Source organism: Homo sapiens, chromosome 9 (genome assembly GCF_000001405.40).
Source record: "Homo sapiens chromosome 9, GRCh38.p14 Primary Assembly".
NCBI classification, from domain to species: domain Eukaryota; kingdom Metazoa; phylum Chordata; class Mammalia; order Primates; family Hominidae; genus Homo; species Homo sapiens.
Genome location: NC_000009.12, coordinates 15,457,791 through 15,483,704, shown reverse-complemented (window position 1 = coordinate 15,483,704; position 25,914 = coordinate 15,457,791). Strand labels below are relative to the sequence as shown.

Sequence of the window (25,914 nt, the reverse complement as noted above, 5' to 3'; positions counted from 1 at the left end):
TTGGGGCAGTGAGACCAGTTCACTGTAAAATTCATTCAGAATTTTAGTACTAACTTTACTGGACTTGGCATGGATTTGAGTAGTCAGTAAAGAAGACAAGGTCTTTGTTTCCATTGAACTTACATTTTTTTTTAGACAAAAAATAAATATTTAAAATAAGAGGGTTTAAATGGGGAGTTAATGAGTTGGCAACAGACTAGGCTACAAAAGGCCTTTCTAAGGAGTTGGCATGAGACTGGAAGGACAAGGATCTTATAGATTTTTTAAGTGGTGTAGACGAGAGATGGGATTTAAGAGCACTTTAAGAGGTTAAGTTGATGGTTGATGAGAAGTGGATGGTAAAGGGGGCGGGGGAGGGAACTAGAATCTAAGGTGGCTCTAAGGTCTTTACTTGAATAAGCTAGTTATTGGGAGTGCAGAGGATGTTGGTTTGGAATCATAGGCATGAGTAAGGGGAAGGTGAAGCACCTGTGGGAACTGGAGTGAAGAGATATATATATTGTTCTGGCACCAAAGAGGGAGAAGATGTAAGTTACAGATGCAGTCTCTGGCATGAAGATAGGGTAATAGATGAGGTCAAAGGAGAACGGTTTATTGAGAGGATGCAGAAACCAGAATCCTGAAGGAATATAATGGAGAGGGGGAAAGGTTGCTCTGTGAAATTATGGCTGAGAATGAACTGTCAAGAGAAAATCTAAGAGGGTATCAAGCTAAACAAGGGAAGGGGGAATGTCCAGAATGAAGAAGTGGTCAGTAATGTCCTGATTTAGAGAGGGTACCAGTAAGATACTTGCCACATAGGCTGCTCTAGGATACTTTCAGGTGAACTCCATTTAGTTGAATGGTAAGGACAGAAACTAGATTAAGGGGTTAGAGAATAAATGTTAATGGTAAAGTTACACTGTGCTTTTTAAATCTTTGAAGGCAAGGAGAATGTGGCAACATAATAGGGATTTTCATAGCTAAGGGAAAGTGTTAAAATGACAAAAGACAGTAAATGCCTTAACACTTTTTCTCTGCAAAATTAGGAAAGATCAAAGATGTGGAGTCAGTATAAATTATTTTATGTAAATACATGTTGGATGAGAGAATGGAGGGGACATTTGAAGGAACTGACTTAACAAGGAGGAGATGGATGTTTCAGTCTCTTAACACTGAAGGGGAGGGATGGAGGAGGCTCTGAAAATTTCTTGGGACACTAGGAAATTAAGGGAATTCCTTTCTACAGCCCTTACTCCCTTCTGCCCCATCCACATCAAAGCAAGACTTTGGATGTGGTACAAGTCGGGAAGAATAGATTGAGTAAATTATGCAGCTGTTGGTGGGAGGAGGAGGCCTGATCAGATAGGGTAAAGTGACTTTGAGATCTCAACTGAGATTGCATAAAATGAATGCATGTTTGTACATTTTTTTTTTCCCAGCAGGCTTCAGCAGCTGGGAATAATAGAACAGAGAAGGTAGAATTGTATAGTAACCTCTCTTGAGGATTTGTGGGACAGATACAGCAAAACAAGGATGTGGAGGACTTATGAATACATTTGAATAGTAATCCCATGAGGTTTTTGTGTGTGTGTGAAGTGGTGTGTTTTTAGTTAAGATCAAGGAAGCTGGTAGAGCTAGAAAGGGGTAAAAAATGAAGAGAAAATGAGGGTTAGATGTCTCAGAGCAAGTAAAATATGGAAGAAATAAATCTGTAGTCAGTAGTTTAAGATATTAGCATTTAAGATGTTTAAATATTTAAGCATATCCTAAGAGTGGAAAAGTTTTAAATATATATGTTTCGTATAACTTCATTGGTCCTTTCTTTAGATAAAATATTTATTATTCTTTGATTTTATTTTCATGAGGAATGGTTCTGACTTGCATGATTTTGCCATAATAGTCATGAACACACGTGCATGGTAGGGCTGATCTCTTAGTATTAGTGTTAATATAGTTTTAATTATTATTGATGAACTTGTTACACTTATTGGTACCTCCTTAAAAACCATCTCTTTTACCTATAATTCTTTGTTTTTTTTGAGACGGAGTCTTGCTCTGTTGCCCAGGCTGGAGTGTGGTAGCAGGATGTCAGCTCACTGCAATCTCTGCCTCCTGGGTTCAAGTGATTCTCCTGCCTTAGCCTCTTGAGTGGCTGGGATTACAGGTGCCTGACTTATTTTTGTATTTTTAATAGAGATGGGGTTTCACCATGTTGGCCAGGCTGGTCTCGAACTCCTGACCTCGTGATCTGCTAGCCCCAGCCTCCCAAAGCGCTGAGTGGGAATTACAGGCATGGGCCACTGCACCCAACCCTACCTATAATTCTTATTCAGTGTTTTGATTTATTTCCAAAAGCAGAAAGTGTAAGTGGAGAGAGTCTTCTTTGCACCAAAGAATTGACCAGTTATAACTGAATTTTAGACAAATTATGCCCTCTTAACTCCTCAGTAGGAAAAGAGCTCTCAGTCTTGAGTTCTTAAGCTTTGTTACCTGGGGAGCTTTATAAAAACACAGAATCCTGGTTCCCTGACTCAGAGCTATTGAATCAGGATTGGGGCAGGGCAACTTTGTAAGTTCTTAAAATTCTAGAAATAAAACCTGAGCTAATAATGTTCAGGGAGGAATTTTCAGTGTTCTCTGAGAACAACTCAAGGGTTACCTTAGATGAGTTTTAATAATACTTTTAATATGCTTCATTATGTTTCAGTTATTTAAAGAAATGTTTAAAAAACTAATAAAGAAATGGATACATTCGTAGAAGTGGAATTGCCATATAAAGGTTTTTTGTTTTGTTTTGTTTTTTTGAGACAGTCTTGCTCTGTCGCCCAGGCTGGAATGCAGTGGCATGAATTTCAGTTCACTGCAACCTCTGCCCCCTGAGTTCCAGCAATTCTCCTGCCTCAGTTTCCTATGTAGCTGGGATTATAGGTGTGCGCCACAAGCCTGGCTAATCTTTTGTTTTTAGTAGAGAAAGGGTTTCATCGTGTTGGCCAGGCTGGTCATGAACTTCTAACCTCAAGTGATCCACTCACCTTGGCCTCCCAAAATGCTGGGATTACAGGCGTGAGCCACTGTGTCCAGCCCTATATAGAGATTTGCACATTCTATATTGCCAATACTCATTCATAATTATGTGCTTTCATAAAGTATCAGTTTATTGATACCAGCTTATTGATCATTGGTAGTCAATGTATGAATGATTCTCCACATGCTTATCAACACTGGGCATTATGTTTACAAATCATTGATGAAAAGGCAATTTTTAATTTTTTTAATCAATGAGATTGGATTATGCATGTTTTTGAATGCCTTCTTGTTTTTATCTTTAGTGATACAGTTAATGCTGAATTCTAAATAGTTGGGGGAGTTGGGGAAGGAGCCCATCTCCTCCTTTGGTCTTTCTCTTTCCTCCTTTTGCAGTTATGATCAGTACCAACTGCTGCCTCATGTTTACATTTTGTTTCTAATTTGTGTTCTTAACCTTTGTTCCATTCTAATGCTTAAATCAATAATACTGATTCTCATTTGGGGCCATTCTCTCCAGGAGAATCATACTAGCAGTTATCAAAGGGCATTAGAGTTTGCAAATGGTCAGTGGATTCCTTACTCTCTGTTGTAGTAAATCCTTTCTTACGGGAAATAAGAATAACTCCTAAAGGAGAACTGTTAGGTAACAGTCTCAGTTTAGAAATAAAATGTGTCTGTATGAACGAAGAATTAGAAATAACATTGTGTTAGTTGCAGTGTAATCACATACTTTGTTCTCCATATCGCATCAAGAATATTAGCTTTATTTTTACAAATGACTTCATTTCTAAGAAATTTTTTGTTTTTTTTAAGAGTTGTTCACTAGAGTTATAAACTAAGTTTGAAGATGTTACTCTTGAGTTGATTGTTGAAAAAACAAAAGATCATATAGAGGTTATATCTATACTTGAACTCAACGTTACCATAGACTGGCATATTTTTGCCATCGAATTAAACTTTGAGTGCCTACTATTTGCTAAATAAGTTAATTAAATTTTTGTAATTCAGGCAGAAAAACAAGTAGAAACTGAGGAGGCAGGAGTAGTGACAACAGCAACAGCATCTGTTAATCTAAAAGTGAGTCCTAAAAGAGGACGACCTGCAGGTAGGATTACTGATGTTTAAATATCTGTTTGGCTTGTGATTAATATTCCAGTCCATTTAAAGTGTTGCTGCCTCAAATATTTTGGAATGAAGCAAATAGGCAATTGATTATGTGTAACATACAGATTTCAAAGGAGATAAACATGATTTGTGCTCTGTTTCAAAGTATTTAAATTTGAAATAAACTTTGCTTTATCTCTGTTATGTTTTCCCTAAATAGTGGTAAGAGAGGCTGTGGGGAGGTTAAAATTATCATGAATAATGGGTTTATTTTACCTTTCACTTAAGAGTCGTAAGATTTCAAAATGGAGTTATAATCAGAGAATGAGAAATAGCATTTGATTAAAGTCATTAATATTTTAAATTTGTGCGTTCTTTATTGATAGGGATTTTGATTTTTACAGTTTGCAGCTCTCTTCAGCATTGCCTATTTAAAAGTATTTTCTTAATTTGGCAAATTGGAAATATTTTGGAAAAATCTTCGTAAAACAAAACCAAAATTGAGTGAATTTTTTTTCTACTTTTTAATAGGATTCTTACTGAAAATGGGGGGTAAGATGAGTAATACCCAGAAAAGAAAAAAGATTTTTATTTATATATTTTGGAGTTTAATATTGCAGTGGATAAAATTAATAGTGCTAGGGAAACTCAGTGAATTTTGATATGAACTTCCAAAGATATGTAACTGCATAAGTAATATAATATGTATATGAATATTAAATATAAGTGCTGTTTCCTATTCTAAAAGTTGAATTTTGTGACATTACTGTTAAAACGATAGTGAAAAATGTTTTAAGCCCTCTCAGTCATAATAAGGACAAATTGAGGATTACTCTGTTTACCTCTTTATAAATTTTTTGTTGTTGCTCATTTTAACCATGGTGGGGGAGGTATTATTTTTTCAATTTAGCAATAATTGTATCTGTAATAAGCTACTAATATTCTTAAATAGTATGTATCATTTCTAATATTTATATCTGAGATTTGTATCTTAAATAGAAACTAGTAGTTACTGATTTTTTTTCCATGTGTATATTAGCTACAGAAGTCAAGATTCCAAAACCAAGAGGCAGACCCAAAATGGTAAAACAGCCCTGTCCTTCAGAGAGTGACATGTGAGTTTATTTTTAATGTATAATTATGCAATAAATGAGACATTTGACTTTAAACAAGCACATATCTCTGCGATTTTATCAGTTTTCTCTTACAGGATGTTTGTTATTATTTTGATCTTTCTTAAAATTACAGGAAAAACTGGGAAAATTTTGTAAAGTAAAAATTGGTAAGGAATGGCTATTTATCATTTCATTAATTAAGACTCTTGGGTATATCAATTTATATAGATACTTAGATAATACAACATAAAATATATAATAGAGAAATTGGGCAAGATGGTATGTTTCAGGAATTTTAGAATATATTTGAAGTAATGTCACAAATTTTTTTTTTTTTTTTTTTTTTTTTAAAGATGGGGTTTCACTCTGTCGCCCAGGCTGGAGTGCAGTGCTGCAATCGCACACTGTAACCTCAAACTCCTGGGCTCAAGGAGCCTCTTCCCACTTTAGCCTCCCAAGTAGCTGGGACCACAGGTGTGTGCCACCACACCTGGCTAACTTTTTTTGATGAGACTGGTCTCATCGTTCCCAGGCTGGTCTCAAACTCCTGGGCTCAAACGATTCTCCCACCTCATCCTTCCATAGTGCTGGAATTATAGGGGTGAGCCACGTGCCTAGCCTACAAATCTTTTTTTTATCTCCTCTAGAATAGGTGCTTTATTTAAAAATAGGGCTAAAATAATTTTTGTATGTAAATTTAATTTTTAAAGCATTTCAGAATAACTATTCAGTTATCCAGGAAATTGTGCGTGTTTTTTGGTTTTTTGCATTTTTCCCTTGCTGCCTTTTCTACTTGGATCCTTTTTACTTTGGCTTTTTTGGGGAATCTTTGCCAGAAGGAATAGAGAGTATATTTAGACAAAGGGGGAGAAAAACTTTTTGTGGCTATTGTGTTTGAAGATTTGAAAGGCTTAAGTGGGGTATGTCTATTAAGCATAGATTTACATTGTTTTGAATGAACTGATTATAGAAAATTCTAATTGTAGAACACTATTAGAGAATTGGTATGTTTCAACCAAAATATGTTTAAAGAGTTTCACTGCCAGTCTGTATTTACTTTCAAAAATAGTGGCACATAACAATATATCATATACTTGAAAATTACTAAGAGAGTAGACTTTAAGGGTTCTCACCACAAAATAAAAATATGTATGTGAGGTGGTATGGTAAATAGCTTGATTTAGCCATTCCACAGTGTATACGTACATCAAAACATTGTGTTGCACACCATAAACACATAGAATTTTTACCTGTCAATTTTTAAAAATAGTGGCAGAAAAATACAACATACTTTAACTATTATAGTGAAATTAAGAAATTGGATACTTAACAGGTGAGTTGGCAGTCATTATTCCCTAGGAAATCTGAAATTCTGCTGGGAAAATACTGTGAGATCCCTCTGTTTTGGATATAATTAGTGTTCCCTAATTAGGTCCCAGTTTTCCCCCGGAGTATGCTTCCCACTCCGTTTGTCTTCTTGGCTTTTGGCTGATTCCTCTGGAACTTCTCTACTTTTTCAGTATCATCCTTTGTTGCATCTGAAAAGGTCATTGGAAAATACTGCCCTCCTCATCAGCTGAGCAGCTTTCTCAGCCTACTTTCGGACCATAGTGATCTGAGGGCCCAGTGTACCTTTTTAGGAACTTATCCTCATCTCACTTACTTTCTTTTGATGGAGTCTGGTGTCACTTTTGGTAATGTAATACTTTTGTATGTGTGTTTAATTCTGGTCAGCTTCCTATGCAATTATTGTTAAGACTTTTCTCAGACATGCTCGTCTTTTTATATTTAATAACAGATACTTTGAGTTTATAGGTTTTTGTGAGAAACCATCCCTCAGGAATCATTTGTCCATCTGAAGGATTAATGAAGTCCAATTTTAATTCTTAAGGATTGCAGCTATACCCTTTATTGGGTCTTTGACCCAGGCTATCACCCAATTTGAAAGTCCTACATCCTCACTTGAAAATAGGCTAATCTTTTTTGAACACATCTTTCTTGAACACTATCAAATTCACCTTGATAGTCATTTCACGCTACCAGTATTCTATTTTGAAACTTCTTCACCCAAAGCCACAAGTTGATTGAATATATTTTCTTATTTCTGCTGCGGTCCAACAGTTTTACCCATTGTATAATAACGTATTAGGGTTTCCAGTCTCCCAGCCCTAAAGCAAGTGACTACATGTTTTAGGTTTTTGGTCCTGGTGTCAGTTTCTCTATTAGTGAGCTTTTTCCTGAGGCAATGGACAACCCTAAAATAGCAGTAGCCTTTACAACGTTTATTTCTTATTCATGCTGTGCGTAGGCTGAGTGTGAGCTGTAACTACTCTTGGCTGTGTATCTGGGCACACACTCAGTGGAGTGCAGAACTAAACTGTATAAGCTCTTTTTAAACTTCTGCTCTTCACCGTTAGAACACCATGTATCTCTTAGCGTCTACTTCTTTGTCACGGGTACTGATGTGACACAACAGTAGAATAGAGCCCAGAAGAGCTAAAAACCAACTCATAATCCTCAGAAATGTTTGTTAAAGCCCACTGAAGCTCTTAGGGTTGTGTTTGCATTAGTCTTTGCTTATATTAACATATATTAAAAGATTAAGAAATTTACAAATACAACTTTGCTAATATCCCTTACCTGCTAAAAAGGGAAGTTGTCACAAGTCTGTATTTCATGGAAGAACCACTGGGAAAAGACTCATTGGTAGCAAGCAGTGATAGTCATGTTTATGTAAATTGTTTTGGCACAAAGATTATTTCACACCTTGAAATAATCTTTTTTATGACCTTAGGATAAATTTTTAAAATAAATCCCTAAAGTCACTTTTTAAAGACCAGCTGCATGGTATCCCACTGTATGTTTTATAATTCTTAAGATCTATCCTATGTATGGATAGACGATTTTAAAAACATTGTCATCTATTCTTTTGTACATAATGCAAATATATTGGTTAGGATACATTGTTAGAAGCAGATTTGCTGGGTCAAATGGTATTTGTATTTTTAATAGCTATTTCCTTCCATACAGGTGTAACATTTTGGGAGAAGTAGTTGGCCAGTATTGTTTAAGAGACACAGAAATGTCTTTTTAAATGGGACTCTAGTCCCATTTTTAGGAAACTGATTATCAAAATATTTACATCAGTGGAAATCCTGAAGAAAGCAAATAGTTTCACTTGCATGCTTTTACTTTCATTTATTAAAAGTAAAGGATGGTTTTAATCCCAGAGAGGCTAAAGTTAAAAGGATAAAAACCATAGGACCATTAGAAAATAAGCATACCCAATGATAATTATATAATAAAAAGTTTCTAAAGGGGCAAAAGTAAATTTCTTCTCTTCCAACTTAATAGTTCTTAAGTGGTCAGGGAATCACTTGTCTGGAAAGAGGTTAATGGATTTGGAATTGAGATGTTGGGCTTGTTATTTGACCTTTTGCATCATCATTTTCTCATTTGTCAAATGGAAGGGGTTGAACTGAATGATAGGAAGTCTCTTCAAGCTCTCAAATTCATTGATTTAATTGAATAATTTGCGAAAATCTCAATGAAATTCTTTGGACAGTTAAAAGGTTACAGTTTTTAAACGGCTTATTCCAGCTTCAAATGAAGTATTTATTTGTAAAAGAATTGCTTTAGAAGAATATATATCAACCATAAAAGTAATTACGTGGTTAGTATTTGCATTATTTGATTCTCCTAGAGCCTATTTCTGTAGTACCAACTTGCATAAATATGCAGCAGTAATTAGGATTATTGAGCAGTTTAGGTAGTTTCTCTTGTTTTAGTGGTGTCTGTGAAATTCAGTGGTGATGGGAATACTTAGGTGCTAGTCAGCACAGCACTGTCTGAAAACATGCTTAATTGGCTATATATTTATCATATGCTTAAGTTGGGACCTTTTTACCCTGCAAAGAATATTTGAGTTCTAAAACGACCGTATTTGATTTCACTTCCGCAATTCCATTTGTCCCAGTGTGTCTACTTTTTAAACATAATTTATTCTTACAAATATGTAGAATTTAAGTTCCATAAGAGCCAGGGATCTGCCCATCTTCTATCTTCTAATTTATACCAAAAGGATGTTCTGTGACAGAATTCCTTTTATGATTGGATAGTGAAGACACTCTTTTTACTTTGTTTTAGATTTGCCTTTAAATTAAAAATTATAGCTTACTGATATCTAAAATACTATTATAGTTGAATGACAAGTATACATTGTTATGTTCTCTAAAATAGCATTACTGAAGAGGACAAAAGTAAGAAAAAGGGGCAAGAGGAAAAACAACCTAAAAAGCAGCCTAAGAAGGATGAAGAGGGCCAGAAGGAAGAAGATAAGCCAAGAAAAGAGCCGGATAAAAAAGAGGGGAAGAAAGAAGTTGAATCAAAAAGGAAAAATTTAGCTAAAACAGGGGTTACTTCAACCTCCGATTCTGAAGAAGAAGGAGATGATCAAGAAGGTGAAAAGGTATAAAGTTTACATATATAAAATGGCTGTTCTATTCTTAGTTTATATATATATTTTTTGTTTTTTCTTTGTTTTTTTTTTGTTTTTTTTTTTGTTTTTTTTTTGTTTGAGATGGAGTCTCGCTGTGTTGCTTAGGCTGGAGTGCAGTGGCACAATCTTGGTTCACTGCAACCTCTGCCTCCTGGATTCAAGTAATTCTCCAGCCTTAGCCTCCTGAGTAGCTGGAAGTACAGGCATGTGCCACCACTACCGGCTAATTTTTGTATTTTTAGTGGAGACAAGGTTTTGCAATCTTGGTCAGGCTGGTCTTGAACTCCTGATCTCAGGTGAACCTCCCACCTTGGCCTCCCAAAGTGCCGGGATTACAGGCACCACACCTGGCCATTTATGTATTTCTTAATCTGCCCAGTTTAAGAGCTTTTAATATTTTGGAGGAAGTCTATAAATATCAGTGGCAGTTAAAATGAATTTGTTTACCTTTTTGAATAGACTTGAATTAGCTGTGTTACAAAGCATATTGAAAACGTCCCTTTATTATCTGTTCTCTAAATTCATCTATTTTACAATTATGATCTGGAAATTAAGTAAACAGTACCTTTCCAATAACCCCATCTGTCTAGAAAAGGTAGATGAAATAGGCTGTGGCCAGTGAAGACAAATGTTAAAAGAGGTGGATTTATATAGAGATTTTTGTTATTTACCCCCAAGAAGTTCTTAACACCCTTCAGGCCTATTGTACATTTTATCAGTGGTATGTAAATTTATTTGGACGCCATAGTTGTTGGGAACCTCATTAAAGCTGTGTATCCTTTTGTGTAGAAAAATAAAATTTTGTGTATAGCCTTAGAGATTTACAGATTCAGGTCATGCAAATCTTTTGTTTACTTTCATCTGATTTTTGGCTCATTTCTTAATCTTTTAGAAACCAAACATTTTAAATTGGATAGGTCATGTAGTGTGCTTGTCAGTACTCAAGTCAAATCACTCTGTAGAGAGGCAAACAGACTGACATACTATATTTTATCCAAAGGACATCACTCCTATAGCAGGGCATAAAACAAGATGATTATTTCACGGTCATTAATCAAAGTTAAACTTGCAGAGATAGGTGTAATTCAAAGACTATTTTTAGGTTGCTAATTTGAGTATTCATCCCTTTTTTAAAAACTAGCTGCTGCTTTTCCCCCAAGATTATAATTCCATAAGCACTAGTCACTGACTTTATAGTTAAATAAAACCATCCTAATTCTCAAAACAGAAGAGAAAAGGTGGGAGGAACTTTCAGACTGCTCACAGAAGGAATATGCTGAAAGGCCAACATGAGAAAGAAGCAGCAGATCGAAAACGCAAGCAAGAGGAACAAATGGAAACTGAGCAGTAAGTATTTTTTTTTTTCTAAATTTTGGGTTCTTTTTAAAGGCTAGCATGGAATTTTTAAATAATAGACTTTCATTTTCCAGACTTTATGAAGCCTTTTGAAGAAGTGACTTTTCCCATGTGTTAGAAAAATCTTCAATATATGATGATGATCTTATTTCAGGCTTCATTCTCTTCTGAGAGGATGAAATTGACTGAGGCAGTCACTCTGTGAATTATTTTTGAATTTAAACGAAGTGCAGATAGGATTTAATTGATACTGGCTTTGCAAGAAGTGTACTCATCCTCAACCATTTGTTTGTATAATATAATACATATAGATAGAGGGGCGATAATATACTGGTAGACAAAGAATGCAGGAAATGCCCTTATTCATCACACCACCAAGCAGGCCTCACCCTAAAGACCAGCAAAAGTAACAAAAGCACATTTGGAAACCCAGGAAGCCAGTAAAAGTAAATCTAAAGGCTGACAGGGTGTACATTATTATGTATGTGCAATATAAATCAAATTCAAAGCTGTTTTCTCTTAAATTTTGATACTTATAGAGACAGGACTTGCCATGGGGAATTTCTTTCCCCTTACTATATAATTTTATTACTAGAAGGAAAAGTAATAGCAATGATAATAATGAACAGACTTCGTGTCTTTATTACATTTGCTTTCCTAGTTACCTTTAGACTGTCACTTCTGAGTTCTTTCTCTGACATGCTTTTCTTTTCTCGTGAAGCGTCTTACATTCTGACTAAATTTTGTTTTTTTGTTGTTGTTTTAGTGAGGTGATTTTTAAAACATGCTCTAGGTCAATAAGACAAAGTTAATGATGAGCAGTAAAACAATTCTTGAACAATTTTGTACTTTTTTTCTTTATATAATATATCCGTAAGCCAAAGTCTTTCTTGACAAGTACAGCGTTTTACTCTGCTTTCTTAGTTTGGAGGATATACAAGTAGTTTTAGCTCCTTGAGGGAGTAATTTAAATAACTTATCTAAAGCTCAAAAATATTATTCCCTCTAATGTTAGACTTTAAGCACTTCTGTAAATATTTAAGTTATTCTTTGTCACCTATCATTTTCTATTCTATCTTTTCACTGAAAAGCTGTTGGACTGTTTGTTGCTTTTGACTTTATTGTGATCTCAAAATTAAGATATAAAATTAGTTGTTACTAGTATATGTAGCCCAACCCTTCTTTAGTATCTTAAAGTTATCTTTATGTATTTCAGTTTCTTTTGAATGTCCTCCAATGTAACTTTCTCAAATTCTAATATTTGTGTTTTCTTTCCTTCTCCTGTTATTACAAAACTTTGTACTTGGACAGTTTTGCTCTGTAAAGCATTTCAGATGCAGCTTGTGTGAAATGCATTATGCAAAATAAAGTTTATTGTATTGTATTCCCAGCCAAACAACATGTAATCTACAGTAATAAAAAATATATCTCATTTTGGGCTCAAAGCATTAATCCAGTTACTGAAAAGAGAATACAAGTGGAGCAAACAAGAGATGAAGATCTTGATACAGACTCATTGGACTGAATTTCCCCCTTCCCCCCATTGATGGAAGAATGTTCCAGATTCTAAATTGAGGACTTCATTATTAATGGCATTACTGTGTTATGATTAACAAATTTCCTGTAAGGTACACACTACATACTAAGGTCGGCCATCATTCCTGTTTTTTTTTTTTTTTTTTTTTTTTAACCAAGCTTAAAATGAAGCTTTGTGTTTGAAAGTAATAACAAGCTCAGACGAAGATGGTGGTTGTACATTATTCATCTAGAAAATATAAAAATTCATTTTGTTTTGAAGCTAGTTATTAAACTGGAATAGCAGTTATATCCCTGAGAATGGGGCCCTTCTCTTGACATTCCTTTGTTGTTTAATTCTTTAGAATCTTAATAAATGTTTTTTTAATCCTGAGAGATTAAACAGTAGTAGACTTGTTAAGAATGAAACTGTAACCAAAATTTTAAAATAAAGTTTTTTTTAAAAAAAAAACCTGATTTTTAGATATTTTTTGTTCTTGTCTATTTGAATTGGTTCATAATATGGCCTGAACTCTAAGCCAAGGTACTAGAAATTAAGATTTCAATTTTAAGTGGTTATTTTTGTGATTGACAATAAAATGGTACCTTTTGTGAAATGTTAGTGAATGTTACTGGACGTCATTCAAGTTTGATGAATTGGCCAAAATTTTAAAAACAGTGTTATCTTAAGTCTATTTAACTTTAAAGCTAACTTCAGAACTCATTAATCTGCTTGTTACATGCACAATGATTAAATTGGTCTATTTTAAGATGCAGCTTTAAAAAAGAATGGATGTAGAAGCCATTAAACATTTATAGGTGTCATCTTCCCATTGTGGCCTGTTTGTCCAGTGACCCTGAAATTGCTCTTCTAGCAACACACTATTTGTGATGTCACTGAAAAGCCAGATATGATTTAATCTAGCATGTTAATTAGAGTTTTGCTTATATTTATGCTACGGAACTGCACCATTCTAAGAGCTACAGTCAGTTCCTTTGCAGTCTAGGCTATTGACTTATTTTAAGGAAAACATTTTTAGCTTTTACATAGGGATTGTGGGCATTTAGTCACAAAATTCCAATGTGTTGAAATATTTTTGTTAACATTTGATAGGCAGAATAAAGATGAAGGAAAGAAGCCAGAAGTTAAGAAAGTGGAGAAGAAGCGAGGTTAGTTATTTCACTTTCTAAGATACATAAAATTATACATGGAAAAGAAGTTATATAGACATAACTTTTCATGTATTGGTTTTGGAATAATTTTATACTCATATCCTACAAATAGAATTTTTCAAATCCCTAATGGGCTTTATATAAATTGCATTGTATTTTAAGCATAATCAAGTGAACTTGCTTGAGTTGTTTATGTTTAATGCTCATTAATTATTTGATGGTGTCAAATTTTAGTACACTTGCTGAAAGCTGGATGCTTTCCCATTTCAGACAAATCCCTTGGTTAAACATAAGGAAAAGCAGGTGTTTGGGGACTGGAGAGCAGAGGAGTTATCATATGCAGACTATTTATTTTAGGAAAAACGCAGCCAAGTGGTGGTTTTGTGCTTTTACACTGCATGTTGCTTTTCTCAACCACTAAAAATGGCAATAAGTACTTATTCTTAGTTAAGCTATTGTGCATATCTTTGAGCTTCTTAGTAAAGATTACTAAGAACATTTTTTTTTTAAGTCCACTAATTCATTATACTTAGCCTGTATATAGAAATACTGGTTTTGGAAAAACTGTTCACTGTTTTTCACATATTTTAATTTGTAGAAACATCAATGGATTCTCGACTTCAAAGGATACATGCTGAGATTAAAAATTCACTCAAAATTGATAATCTTGTAAGTGTTTAACTTCATTTAATACTTCAGTACTGCATTTATAGCTTCATCTTTTATTTTCTCACATGATCTTATGAGTATGTAAATTTAAGGGATAATTACTGGTCATTTTGCACTACCTCTTTTTTTTTGGAAACGATCTTTAGAAACAGATTGTTTAAGTGTTAAGATAATTAACAGCTATGAAATTACTGTTTTGTCATGAAGGATGTGAACAGATGCATTGAGGCCTTGGATGAACTTGCTTCACTTCAGGTCACAATGCAACAAGCTCAGAAACACACAGAGATGATTACTACACTGAAAAAAGTAAGTGATTTCAAGTCATGTGGATTCTTTGAATTTTGTCATTACTTCATTTAAAAATTGTTTAAAAAATCAATTAGGAAAACAATTATGATGAATGTATATTGTTTTCTCAGATACGGCGATTCAAAGTTAGTCAGGTAATCATGGAAAAGTCTACAATGTTGTATAACAAGTTTAAGAACATGTTCTTGGTTGGTGAAGGAGATTCCGTGATCACCCAAGTGCTGAATAAATCTCTTGCTGAACAAAGACAGCATGAGGAAGCGAATAAAACCAAAGATCAAGGGAAGAAAGGGCCAAACAAAAAGCTAGAGAAGGAACAAACAGGTATGTGGTAAAAAGCCAACAATTTCACACCAGTTTTTAAACCATTTGCCAGGACTGCTTTTAAAAATGGCTTTCATACATAGTTTCACTGTGTATACGCCACAGAAAAAGTATACAAAGGCAAAATGGTGAAAATCTGATGGGCCTATTGAAGGACTAGAGCAGTGTGCATTGAGAACAAAAAATCATGTCAGTTTATATTCGACTTCTAAGGCAGAAACCATTGCTCATGAGGCAGATGACTCTGGATAAACAATTTTTAAAAACCCATCCATCACAATGCCTCCTAATCCCTAGAGTACCCACTTCCTGGTTGCTCAGCTGCTTCTGTTTTCTTCTCACCTAAAAAGTAAAATAGCGTACAGTAGCCTTTTAAATTAAAACACAGCCTCATAGGTGGAGACTACACCTGCCATTACTTGATACAGGTATTCTGATGATGCTGCTGAGTTACCCTGAACAGACTTCACAGTATTAATGCCATGTCCTTTTTTTTTTTTTTTTTTAAAAGATGGAGTTTCGCTCTTGTTGTCCAGGCTGGAGTGCAGTGGCGTGATCTCGGCTCACCACAACCCTCCACCTTCTGGGTTCAAGCGATTCTCCTGCCTCAACCTCCAGAGTAGCTGGGATTACAGGCATACGCCACCACACCTAGCTAATTTTGTATTTTTAGTAGGCACGGGGTTTCTCCATGTTGGTCAGGCTGGTCTTGAACTCCCGACCTATGGTAATCCACCTGCCGTGGCTTCCCAAAGTGCTGGGATTACAGGCATGAGCCACCGCGCCTGGTGATAAAGTCTTACAAAGCACTTAGATGTGTAGCATATATGTAAGGCACTGAACCTTAGCTTCTACTTTTTTCACTAACTTTAGCAGTAGTTAAATCCTGCTAGTACTTATTACTAACAGTAGTTATTTTCTTTTCATTTGTATTAGGAAAAATTTATAACTTATACAAATAGAAATAACTTCTCATGTCCTTGTCATCCAGCTTTGGCAGTTCAGTTTATGATCATTGTGCTTTTGTAGCCCATAAGCTTTCTCTATGCCCCTCTTGAAAGTTGTTTTACGAAAAATCCCTGACATACCATTTCACTCATAAACATTTCAGAATGTATGAAAGACTCTTAAAACAGAATCATAGTACCATTATCAGCTCCTCCAGTCTTGTTATTAAACATCTTAGTGGCAGCTGCTTAAGGTAAAAGCTGGCATTTCAAAAGCAGTCGGTTGGTTTTTTGTTTTTGTTGCTTTATTGGGGAATGACATGGGTCCCCTTAGAGAATTATTAATACGACTTACAGGAAAACCCCCTTTATTAGGCACAAAAATATCAATTAGGAAATACTCCTTTAGCACTTTGTTCTAAAATAGTAAATTTTAAAATTTGATTCACATTGCTTTTCCGTGGTAGAATAAATGAATATGCTAAGAATTACAACACCCTGTAGTATTCCTGGTAATAGTAACAACCAGAATAATCAGATTAATAATCCACTTCCTGTACTCATAGATAGTTAACCTGCTTTTTATGGTGCCTTAGCTACCCAAAGCCTCTGGTGGTCATCTGCTCCCCTTTTTGACAAAGCCATCAAAACCCAATTCTAACATTCAAGAGAGGGCTGTATTACAATGTAATTTCAAATAAAAGACATTAAGTAGTAGAAACACGATGGCCATGTTGTATTTTGATTCTGGATCTTTAGTGGACACCTTCAATTATTGTTTTGTAAGCTTTAACAAAGTTTTTCCATTGGATTCCTTCGCAAGGGTCAAAGACTCTAAATGGAGGATCTGATGCTCAAGATGGTAATCAGCCACAACATAACGGGGAGAGCAATGAAGACAGCAAAGACAACCATGAAGCCAGCACGAAGAAAAAGTGAGGAATAGGTTTTAATGGGTCTTGTGTGTTTTTTATTATTCAGGTTTTTAATCACAGTTCTGTTCCAAGGTTATCTTACTATAATAAGCAGTTATCTTTTGATCACCCAATTCCTGAATTCAGTAAGCAAGTTACAATTCAAAAAGGAAGAAGAGTAAAAACCTTTTATTGACAGTGACTTTGCCACTGAATTCAAGGGAATGGAACTAGCTGGGAACCCAGTTAAAAAGAAAATATTTGCTCCTGGACTACTTTTACTGAGATACTGTTAGTAATGACTTGCATTCACACTTTCTTGAATTGTGAAAGGATAATTGTAAAAAGTTAGATGGAGAATCACAGTTTTGTTGTTGTTGTTTTTTCTTTGAGACAGAGTTTCACTCTTGTTGCTCAGGCTGGAGTGCAATGGCACGATCGTGCTCACTGCAACCTCCACTTCCTGGGTTCAAGCGATTCTCCTGCCTCAGCCTCCCAAGTAGCTGGGATTACAGGCACCTGCCACCACGCCCATCTAATTTTTTGTATTTTTAGTAGAGATGAGGTTTCACCATGTTGGCCAGCCCGGCCTCGAACTCCTGACCTCAGGTGATCCACCCACCTTGGCTTCCCAGTGTTGGGATTACAGCTGTGAGCCAACATGCCCGGCCATCACAGGCTATTTTTTAATACCCACCCTAAAATAGGCTATGGAGCCATAGTTGAAGTCTTGCTTTGTTCCACTGTGTATCTGAAGGAGTTAGATAGAAGCATCCCTTCTAATTCTGAAATTGAGGGAAATCTTGTTGTCTATGTGTGTATCAACCTCTCTTTTTATTAAGATTTTGAAATATGTTGGTATCACAGATATAAAACATTCTCATGTTCTTTAAAGAGAATTCACTTTTATGCTAGAAATGATGGAAAGGGCTTGGTCCATGACACTTTGCTGAGTTATTTTGCTTCATCTGCATATTACTTTGGGAAGAAGATACAACATGGTAAAATAACAGTTTTGAAGAAGAAAAAAATAATAATGACTGTTCTAATAACAAGTCAAGTTTTTCTTTTGTTTGGTTGGTTTCAGTCTTTTCATGGGTTTAAAAATATAATGCAGACTTAATGTCTTTTTTTCCTTCATCAGGAGAAAATCCTAATTCCAGTTGTACCTTTCCCCCTTTTCTTCAGGCCATCCAGTGAAGAGAGAGAGACTGAAATATCTCTGAAGGATTCTACACTAGATAACTAGGTTGACATACCTGGAATATAGAGAACACTTGAGAAGTTTGTAATGGTTTTCATTTGAAATAGACTGCTGAAAGTTTTAAATTTTTATAAGCATAGGTTTGATGTTGAAAACTTGTTTTGAGGGAGAAAATCCCTTTGTTTTAAAGTAAAGTAAACATTATCGCTAAGTGTACTTGTGCAGTATTAACAGCTACATTATACAGTAAATGTGGGATAAAATCCATTTAGAAAATGTTAAACTGCTTTTCCAGACATGGTTGTAGCATATTTTCAATTAGTGTGTGTATGTTAATGTGTAATTGATAGTAGAACAAAGTTACATTTTTAAAACTGCTACTTGTATAAACCTTGCCTCTTTTCCCAAATACTGTGGGTTTTGTGCATAGTTTTTACAAACCTTGGATTTACCAGACTGTCTTTTCACTGTTTGTGGGTTTTGTAGAAGTTACACATTTTTATGGTAGATAAAATGTTACTTCTATACAAGTACTCACTCCCTTTTTATCAAAAGTTAATTTTAATCTCACAGTCTACATTGTGCTACATTATCCAGCTTCTTTGGAACAATGTGTGCTCTGTATGGTTTTTTTTGGTATGACAACTAATTAAGCAACTGACATGGAACTGAGAATTCTACAAACTATAAAACATTAATTTTTGAAGGTAATTTAGTTTTGTGGCTGGGCATTCAGTGAAGTCTTAGGACTTCTTTGCAGACAACTGACTGGGTATATATAGGAATGAATCTGGCTTTAGGGTTAAATCATTTAAGGTCCTTTTATAGGCAGGCACTAGTAACTAAAACTGAAAACTAAGTAAGTTTATTTTTGAGGAATGTTGTTAAAAATGTCTTTAGGAAGTCACTAAAACTTAATTGGAAGAAAAAATCATGATGCTTATACAATAAATATGAATAAATGTTATATAAGGAAACTCACCTATTTGAAATCATGGCTATATTGTTTTTATTTTCTAGATTCCAAAAATACAAACACTAGTTGTTCCAGCATTGTACTTTGATAAGTCTGTACATTGACGTGTATGGACTAAATCCAGGGTAAAATCAATGTTACAAAATTTAAGGGTATGTTAACTAAAGGATAGCATTTCTAAGATATTTTGAATATTAGGGTCATTTGGCACTTCTCAGCAAGTAGGATACTTCTCATGTTTTGAAATTATATGAATATGGAAAAAAATGGCTTAAGACCAGCGTCTCTGTATGACATTGTGTGGTTGACCCTCTGAGATAACTGTTTTCATCTACAGAATTGCATTTTTGCTTTTAAAGAGGTCTTATAATGGAACTAGGAATCACCGTTTTGAGAGAACCTGCATATATACCAGTCATTATCTGTTTGGTCCTTATACAGTTTTAACTTACTTAGATTTATTCTAGTTAAGCCATAAGTTCAACGTGTAAACTTGTTTTCATTAAAGAATTTTTCTATCAAACTCTGCTAGTAAATTACTTTCTTGCTATTTACAAGAGTAAGTGATGGAATTCTGGGTTTGCTGCCAAGGAAATAATTTCTTAGTTAACTGGTCACAGAGGTTGTGCTGTTTTGGGAAACGGGGTAACTAAACAGTAAGCTCAAGATGATAAAAAATAAAGGTAATATTTATCTTTTGTTCACCCTCCCTTTCTTCCCATGACCCACCAGATCTATAGTTTTACAAAGAAGCCACAGAATATTCCAATTCTAGAGATAGAGCATCATTCTCATAATTTATGTCAGCTTGTACAGGCTGACCTTGCTCTAACTAGTTGATGTATGTTCGCTTCAAGCATAATTGCTGTTTCTTTAATCATAACTCTCAAGAAATGGTGTCATAGGCTGATTTACAGATAACTTCTCAGAACTCTTGATAATTATTCATAAGACTTAAGAACTTTCAGGATCATTGAAATTGTTCATTGGCTCAATTTGTGTGTGTGGTCAAAACTCCACAGCTTGACAAGGCACCAAAAGGTAATTTTGAGATAGATAACCCCCACCCCACCCCACCCCACCCCACCCCACCCCTCCAAAAAGTACGTGTAATATGTATGTTTTAACACCTCTTTTGGGCTGGTATGTGTGTGTATGTACGTATGTGTTTTGATTACTGGATAAAAGAGTCATACATCAGCCGGGCGCAGTGGCACGTGCCTGTAATCCCAGCTCCTCGGGAGGCTGAGGCAGGAGAATTGCTTGAACCCGGGAGGCAGAGGTTGCAGTGAGCTGAGATTGCCCCACTGCACTCCAGCCTGGGAGACAGAGCAAGACTCCATCTCAAAAAAAAAAAAAAAAAAAAAAAAAAAGAGTCATACCATGACCAAGCAGAACTGACCATTGAAGGTTTTCTTAGCTGCTTGGAGAAATTGCAGATACATCTATCTGAATCTGAGAACTGACTGGGATTTGGTATGTGAACAACTGGAGAGAACCATACACTTTATAATTAATATTATATCCAGTGATTTCAAATAATATGATAGATTTTGCTGATACAGTACTGCTGTCTGTGTTCCTACTCATACACTTACCTGGTTACAGATGTTAGGTCAAGATGAGGTCTGCATCTAATCCTGTATAAGAGCAGAGATTTTTCATAGGGTGCTGTGAGGGCTTTGCTAACTCTATTTTGTCCGATTGGCCAGAAAAAGGATGCTCTAATGGAAATAGCAAACCTGTATCATTAAACTCTTTAGAAACAAAGAAACTGGTTTAATAGGCAGAAATGTGTTTATGTTTGTGTCGTGTAATTCTGCAACACAATGTTAGAGATGACTGACCTTTCTCCTAGTAAAACTAGAATGTCTAATTGTCCTTAAATGGTACTGATGCCTGAAGAATGTTTAAAGAAATAGCTATTGCTTCTCTAGTAACTTCTGTGCATGTGTATCCACTATTATATAAAAGTCAAATTCAACTACCAAGCAGGTTGACATGTTCATGACAACATTTTCAGTTGCCTATCTTCATTAGCTAATGTGTTACATGTAATTTGACAGGCGTGTTACATTTGATTGAAATAAGCATAAAGAAAAGCTGCCTCGAAAAAAGAGAAAAGCTGTCTTAAATCAGGGGTTTTATAGCTCCAGAAATATACAAAGTTAGGAATTTCTTTTGACTTGAACTTGGTGGGATACCTGTATAACTGATACATAACACACGGGCAAACTGTGGGAGTAACCTGGTTGATTAACTTTTCTCCTCAGTTTCACCAGGGAACAATAATAGGTACCTGAGTCTTTGATGAAAAACTTAACCTTAAGAACTAGCAAAATAACATTCTCAAATAATTAATAAAGAATCCCAGTAGCAGAAATGTTTTAACTGGCATGTTTCTTCTTTGTCCGCTAAAATGTATTGACACCACACATGGAATAATGCATTATGACAATAATTAACTTTTTGAAGTTTGGTGTTTTGAGAGTATGAAATGAATGAATAAGATAAAATATCCTTGCATATGCATGTAAGACCTATAAGGAACGCAGTATTGAAAATAAAGGAATCAAAATTTTTACCCATGGAATTTTAGGGTTGGGTAAATCATTCATTTATCTTAAATCTATGGTTTGCTGGCAGTTATCAATCTGCTCAATTTTAGCATTGTTGTATACAAGAAAGTAAAAATTTAGGTATAACATAAGCCAGCCTCTTAAGTTCTCTATACTGATTATCTGTGTACTGACTGAATCAGTGAATGAGAACACTAGACATACCAGAAACTCGTGCTTGTCATCTCCAAGCCAATGGACTTAACTGTTTGTGGCATTTAAGTCCATAAAACATACTTCACTGTCAAACACATAGGCTTATAGGTTTCGTCAGTTTTCCATGTGTAAGATAAATGTCTGTTCTTAGCCATCCAGATATTCAGTCAAATTTAAATACAACCTAGGAGAGAGAAAGTGGAATTTATTTATTTTAAATGATGCATTTGAAATCTATAGTATTCCTAAAAGTCTTCTAAACAGTATTAAATGTTCTACCCATAAAGGTTCCCAGAAAATATTTGAATAAATCTATCTGATGGTCTAGACCTGAAAATAAAGAAAGTTTATTTTGCTGGGCGCTGTGGTTCATGCCTGTAATCGCAGCACTCTGGGAGGCCAAGGCGGATGGATCACTTGAGGTCAGGAGTTCGAGACTATTCTGCGCAACATAGTGAAACCCTGTATCTACAAGAAATAAAAAAATTAGCCCGCCATGGTGGCCTGTGCCACCATGTCTCAGCTACTCGGTAGGCTGAGGTGGGAGGATCACCTGAGCCTAGGGAGGTCAGGGCTCCAGTGAGCCAAGATCACGCCACTGTACTCCAGCCTGGGTGACACAGTAAGACCCTATGTCAAAAAATAAGTTTAAAAAGTTTTGGTTTTTTTTTTTTTCCTCAGAATAAGATGAGAGTAACTAGAATTACTATAGTAAGGGGACCAGAAGAATGGAAGACCTGGGCCAGGAAAACTTATTTTTTTTCTTTTTGCTTATATAATTTTGGTATATATCCAATAGTATCATTACCGGAGAATAAGTGAGCCAGAGCTAGCAATCAATAGGATCTTGATTTTTCCATGTCCCCACAGTCATACGAAATCTGCTATTGTTTTTTAAATCATAGTATTAAATTGACATATTTTAAACTCATAACATTCATAAAGCTTTTGTCAAGAAATAAAGCTTCAAGTTAATGTTATTTCTGGAGTTATGAGTATATACTCAAGATCTTTTTAAATTCATTATTCACATAGTCTTATTAACATGTCTTGTATGCCTAGTTTCCTCCAAAACAAAACCTAACATTACTAAACAGCACACTAAGATTAAATTCCCCCAAAGCAGCCGGGCGCGGTGGCTCACGCCTGTGATCCCAAAATTTTGGGAGGCTTAGGCGGGTGGATCGCCTGAGGTTAGGAGTTTGAGACCAGCCTGGCCAACATGGTGAAACCCCGTCTCTACTAAAAATACAAAAATTAGCCAGGCATGGTGCCAGGTGCCTGCAATCCCAGCTACTCAGGAGGCTGTGGCAGGAGAATCACTTGAATCCGGGAGGCGGAGGCTGCAGTGAGCTGAGATTGCGCCACTGTATTCCAGCCTGGGCAACAAGAGCGAGATTTTGTCTCAAAAAATAAATAATCCCAAAGCTATTAATTTTGTCTTATTTGTAAATAATTCATTCTCCCTAGTTTCCATTACAGTTATTTGAAGGATCTTTACCTTGGAAGCCTCATGGTAGAAGGTGTAGCTCTCACATTCTTCAAAGAATTTTCAAAACACTTCCACTACTTGATGTATCATTAATAATTCTATCTTTAGCAAAAAACTCTGGACAGAGAATGAATAGGGAAGGCATGGATTGGGAGAAAGAATATGTGTGTCTGACAAAGGATTTAAAGTCAGAATATATAAAGTACTACAACTCAACTCAAAATGGGTAAAAAGCACTAAATTAAATACTATCTGGAATAAATATAAAATTAAACTATGTTATAAACATTTAAATACTATCATTATAAGAAAATCTGTCATTTGGACTTTTTTTTGATAGCTTTAGCGGACTGTTCAAAGTGGATCCTGTTCCTCAGTGGCGTTTCTTAGAAATAAGGTAACCATCCAAGAGAACAGTTATTTCATGAGGGGGTATTTTTGTGAGTGTAGCTATTCTTAATTAAAGGTTCCAGGATCAACATAAGGATAAGCAAGGAATTCCCCCAGTTTGTTGCCTTCTGAATCATAGTGCAGCATTCGGAAGCAAACATCACAAAAGAAGCATGGGTCCTCTGGTGCAAAACTGTCATTGTTCGTCACCCATCTGTAGTTTTTAAAAAAAGAAGTACATCATTACAATCAAATTTGCCATACTTAACATGCTTTATGACCTGTAGCAATATGTAAATATAACATTCTATTTCCTTATCAGTCTGTTATTAATGCATAATAATCCCTTAATTTTGTATACATAGATACAAATACATCACCACCAATACTCTCTCTACAAAGCGAAAGGGCATCTAACATTAAGAAACACTGCAGAATGCTGTTTCTCTGTAATACTTACCCTTAAAGGAAGAATATAAATCTATTTGAAAGCATCACACATTTGCCACGACATACCTATCCTCCAAGTACGAATATAGTCATTTTCTTCTAACAGACCATCTTGAAAAACCATGGCAAAATTAGATGCTACAAATCTGATAGACTTTTGCTTAATATACCTTCTTAACTGATAAATGAGTACTGGTTAATTTGAAAACTATATAACTCTTTTTACCTAGAACTCAAGATTATGTTATAAAGTATATACAAATAGCAATATGGGCAACATTATTCAACCAAAATGTTGAATGGCATGAAGATGCTATTGTATGGTATGTTTGAATTCTGCATCTCATGGAATGTTTGCTTTTAACATTATTTTCACTTTGATTTATCATGTTTTCCTATTGATCTTTCAGAAAAGAATATTGTGGTGGGGTGGCGAAAACAAACTGAAGATACAAGTTGAGTATCCTTTATCTGAAATGCTTGGGATCAAAAAGAAGTATTTCAAATTGCAGATTTTTTTCAGATTTTTAAATATATTATGCATATATTTGCCGGTTGAACATCCCACTGAGAATTTGAAATCCAAAATGCTCCAATGATCATTTGAGCATCAGATGTTGCCACTCAAACACTTTCAGGTTTTGGATTTCTGATCTTGAAATTTGGAATGCTCAACCTGTACTAAATTTCCTTTCCTCTGAGTGGCTTTCAGATTTTTTTTATATGTTTTTTATAGTTACTGCTGTGTTGTCCAGGCTGGTCTCCAGGCCTCAAGCGATCCTCCCACCTCAGCCTCCAAAAGCAACAAATTTTTTTTTTACTGACCCACAGTAAGAAATGCCTTATAATCTAAACATGTAGAATCACATAAAGTAAAAATTTTATAAAACTATATTTTAACTTCATGTGATGTACTGTGGTTTTATTGATGAAGTTTTATTGATGAAGCTGATTATGTAAACTATGTGGACAAGAGGCAGAAAGAACATGGCTCTCGAGCATTTTGGATTAAACAAGGTTTTCTTTGGTTAGACTTCCCAAATCCCTTTATGGTAATGTGCACTGTGACCCTCTAACAGGGAGTTATTGTACAGAGCTTTTCTTGAATGTATTCTATCAGAGAATTCTTTGCTTTGCTTAACACTAGTGACTTTTATTTTTATTCACCTAGCTGTATACATTTTACAAGCCTGAAATTTGACCTATCCCTGGACTTGTGTACATATAATATTTCCTGACTATTTAAGAATGTTAGTTTTAACTCACTAAATTGATTTTCTGGCACTTCCCTACTAGATGATACTTCATATTTATAACCTAAAGTACAAATATTCTTAGATCCAAAGTGGAAAACAAAATACCAAAAGTCAAAACTGCCATTTCTCAGAGAAAAAAAAAAATACATTATCACTCACCTGGCTGTATACATTTTACAAACAAAACATTTTCTGGTCCATAGCCAATGCTTCTTGATAAGGAGGGGATACAATGTCCTATCCAAGCAGTCATCATGATGCACAAGCCTTTTGTTCGTGGGAAAATAAAGATATTAAGGTGACAAATATTAAGTGACAAATTTTTATGAGCTATTAAATATATCTGTGCCTGAGTATTAGGAAAATAGATACTTTCAATTTTTGCTTACAAGATGTTGCTGAATTACTTGTTATGCCATGTTTCACCAAATTCTGT

At 35.1% G+C, this 25,914-nt stretch overlaps 2 protein-coding genes across 37 annotated transcripts in view; one reads left to right on the top strand and one right to left on the bottom strand.

Moving 5' to 3' along the window:
• Positions 1-19,639, top strand: part of PSIP1 (PC4 and SRSF1 interacting protein 1) — a 46,905-nt gene extending 27,266 nt beyond the window's left edge. For 3 of the 12 annotated variants that reach the window (NM_001438386.1, NM_001438385.1, NM_021144.4), the window contains 5 exons: positions 4,018-4,114; positions 5,153-5,228; positions 9,468-9,696; positions 10,955-11,073; positions 12,474-13,046. In NM_001438386.1, coding sequence (NP_001425315.1) covers positions 4,018-4,114; positions 5,153-5,228; positions 9,468-9,696; positions 10,955-11,073; positions 12,474-12,498 — 546 coding nt within the window. In that variant the 3' untranslated portion in view covers positions 12,499-13,046. Of the gene's footprint in view, positions 1-4,017; positions 4,115-5,152; positions 5,229-9,467; positions 9,697-10,954; positions 11,074-11,156; positions 13,047-13,711; positions 13,768-14,368; positions 14,440-14,646; positions 14,749-14,861; positions 15,076-16,845; positions 16,958-18,124 lie in introns of those variants that run through there. The other 9 variants (NM_001128217.3, NM_033222.5, NM_001438383.1 and 6 more) reach the window with 5 other exon arrangements.
• SNAPC3 (small nuclear RNA activating complex polypeptide 3) overlaps positions 16,970-25,914 on the bottom strand; it is a 43,860-nt gene continuing 34,915 nt past the window's right edge. For 10 of the 25 annotated variants that reach the window (NR_161447.2, NR_161438.2, NR_161450.2 and 7 more), the window contains 3 exons: positions 25,638-25,745; positions 23,392-23,986; positions 16,970-22,074 (listed from right to left, as the gene is read on the bottom strand). Coding sequence is in view for 7 of the 25 variants with exons in the window: in XM_017015056.3 (XP_016870545.1) it covers positions 23,839-23,986; positions 25,638-25,745 (256 nt within the window). In the remaining 18 variants the exon portion in view is untranslated. Of the gene's footprint in view, positions 23,987-25,637; positions 25,746-25,914 lie in introns of all 25 variants that reach the window. The other 15 variants (NR_161446.2, NR_161442.2, NR_161448.2 and 12 more) reach the window with 7 other exon arrangements.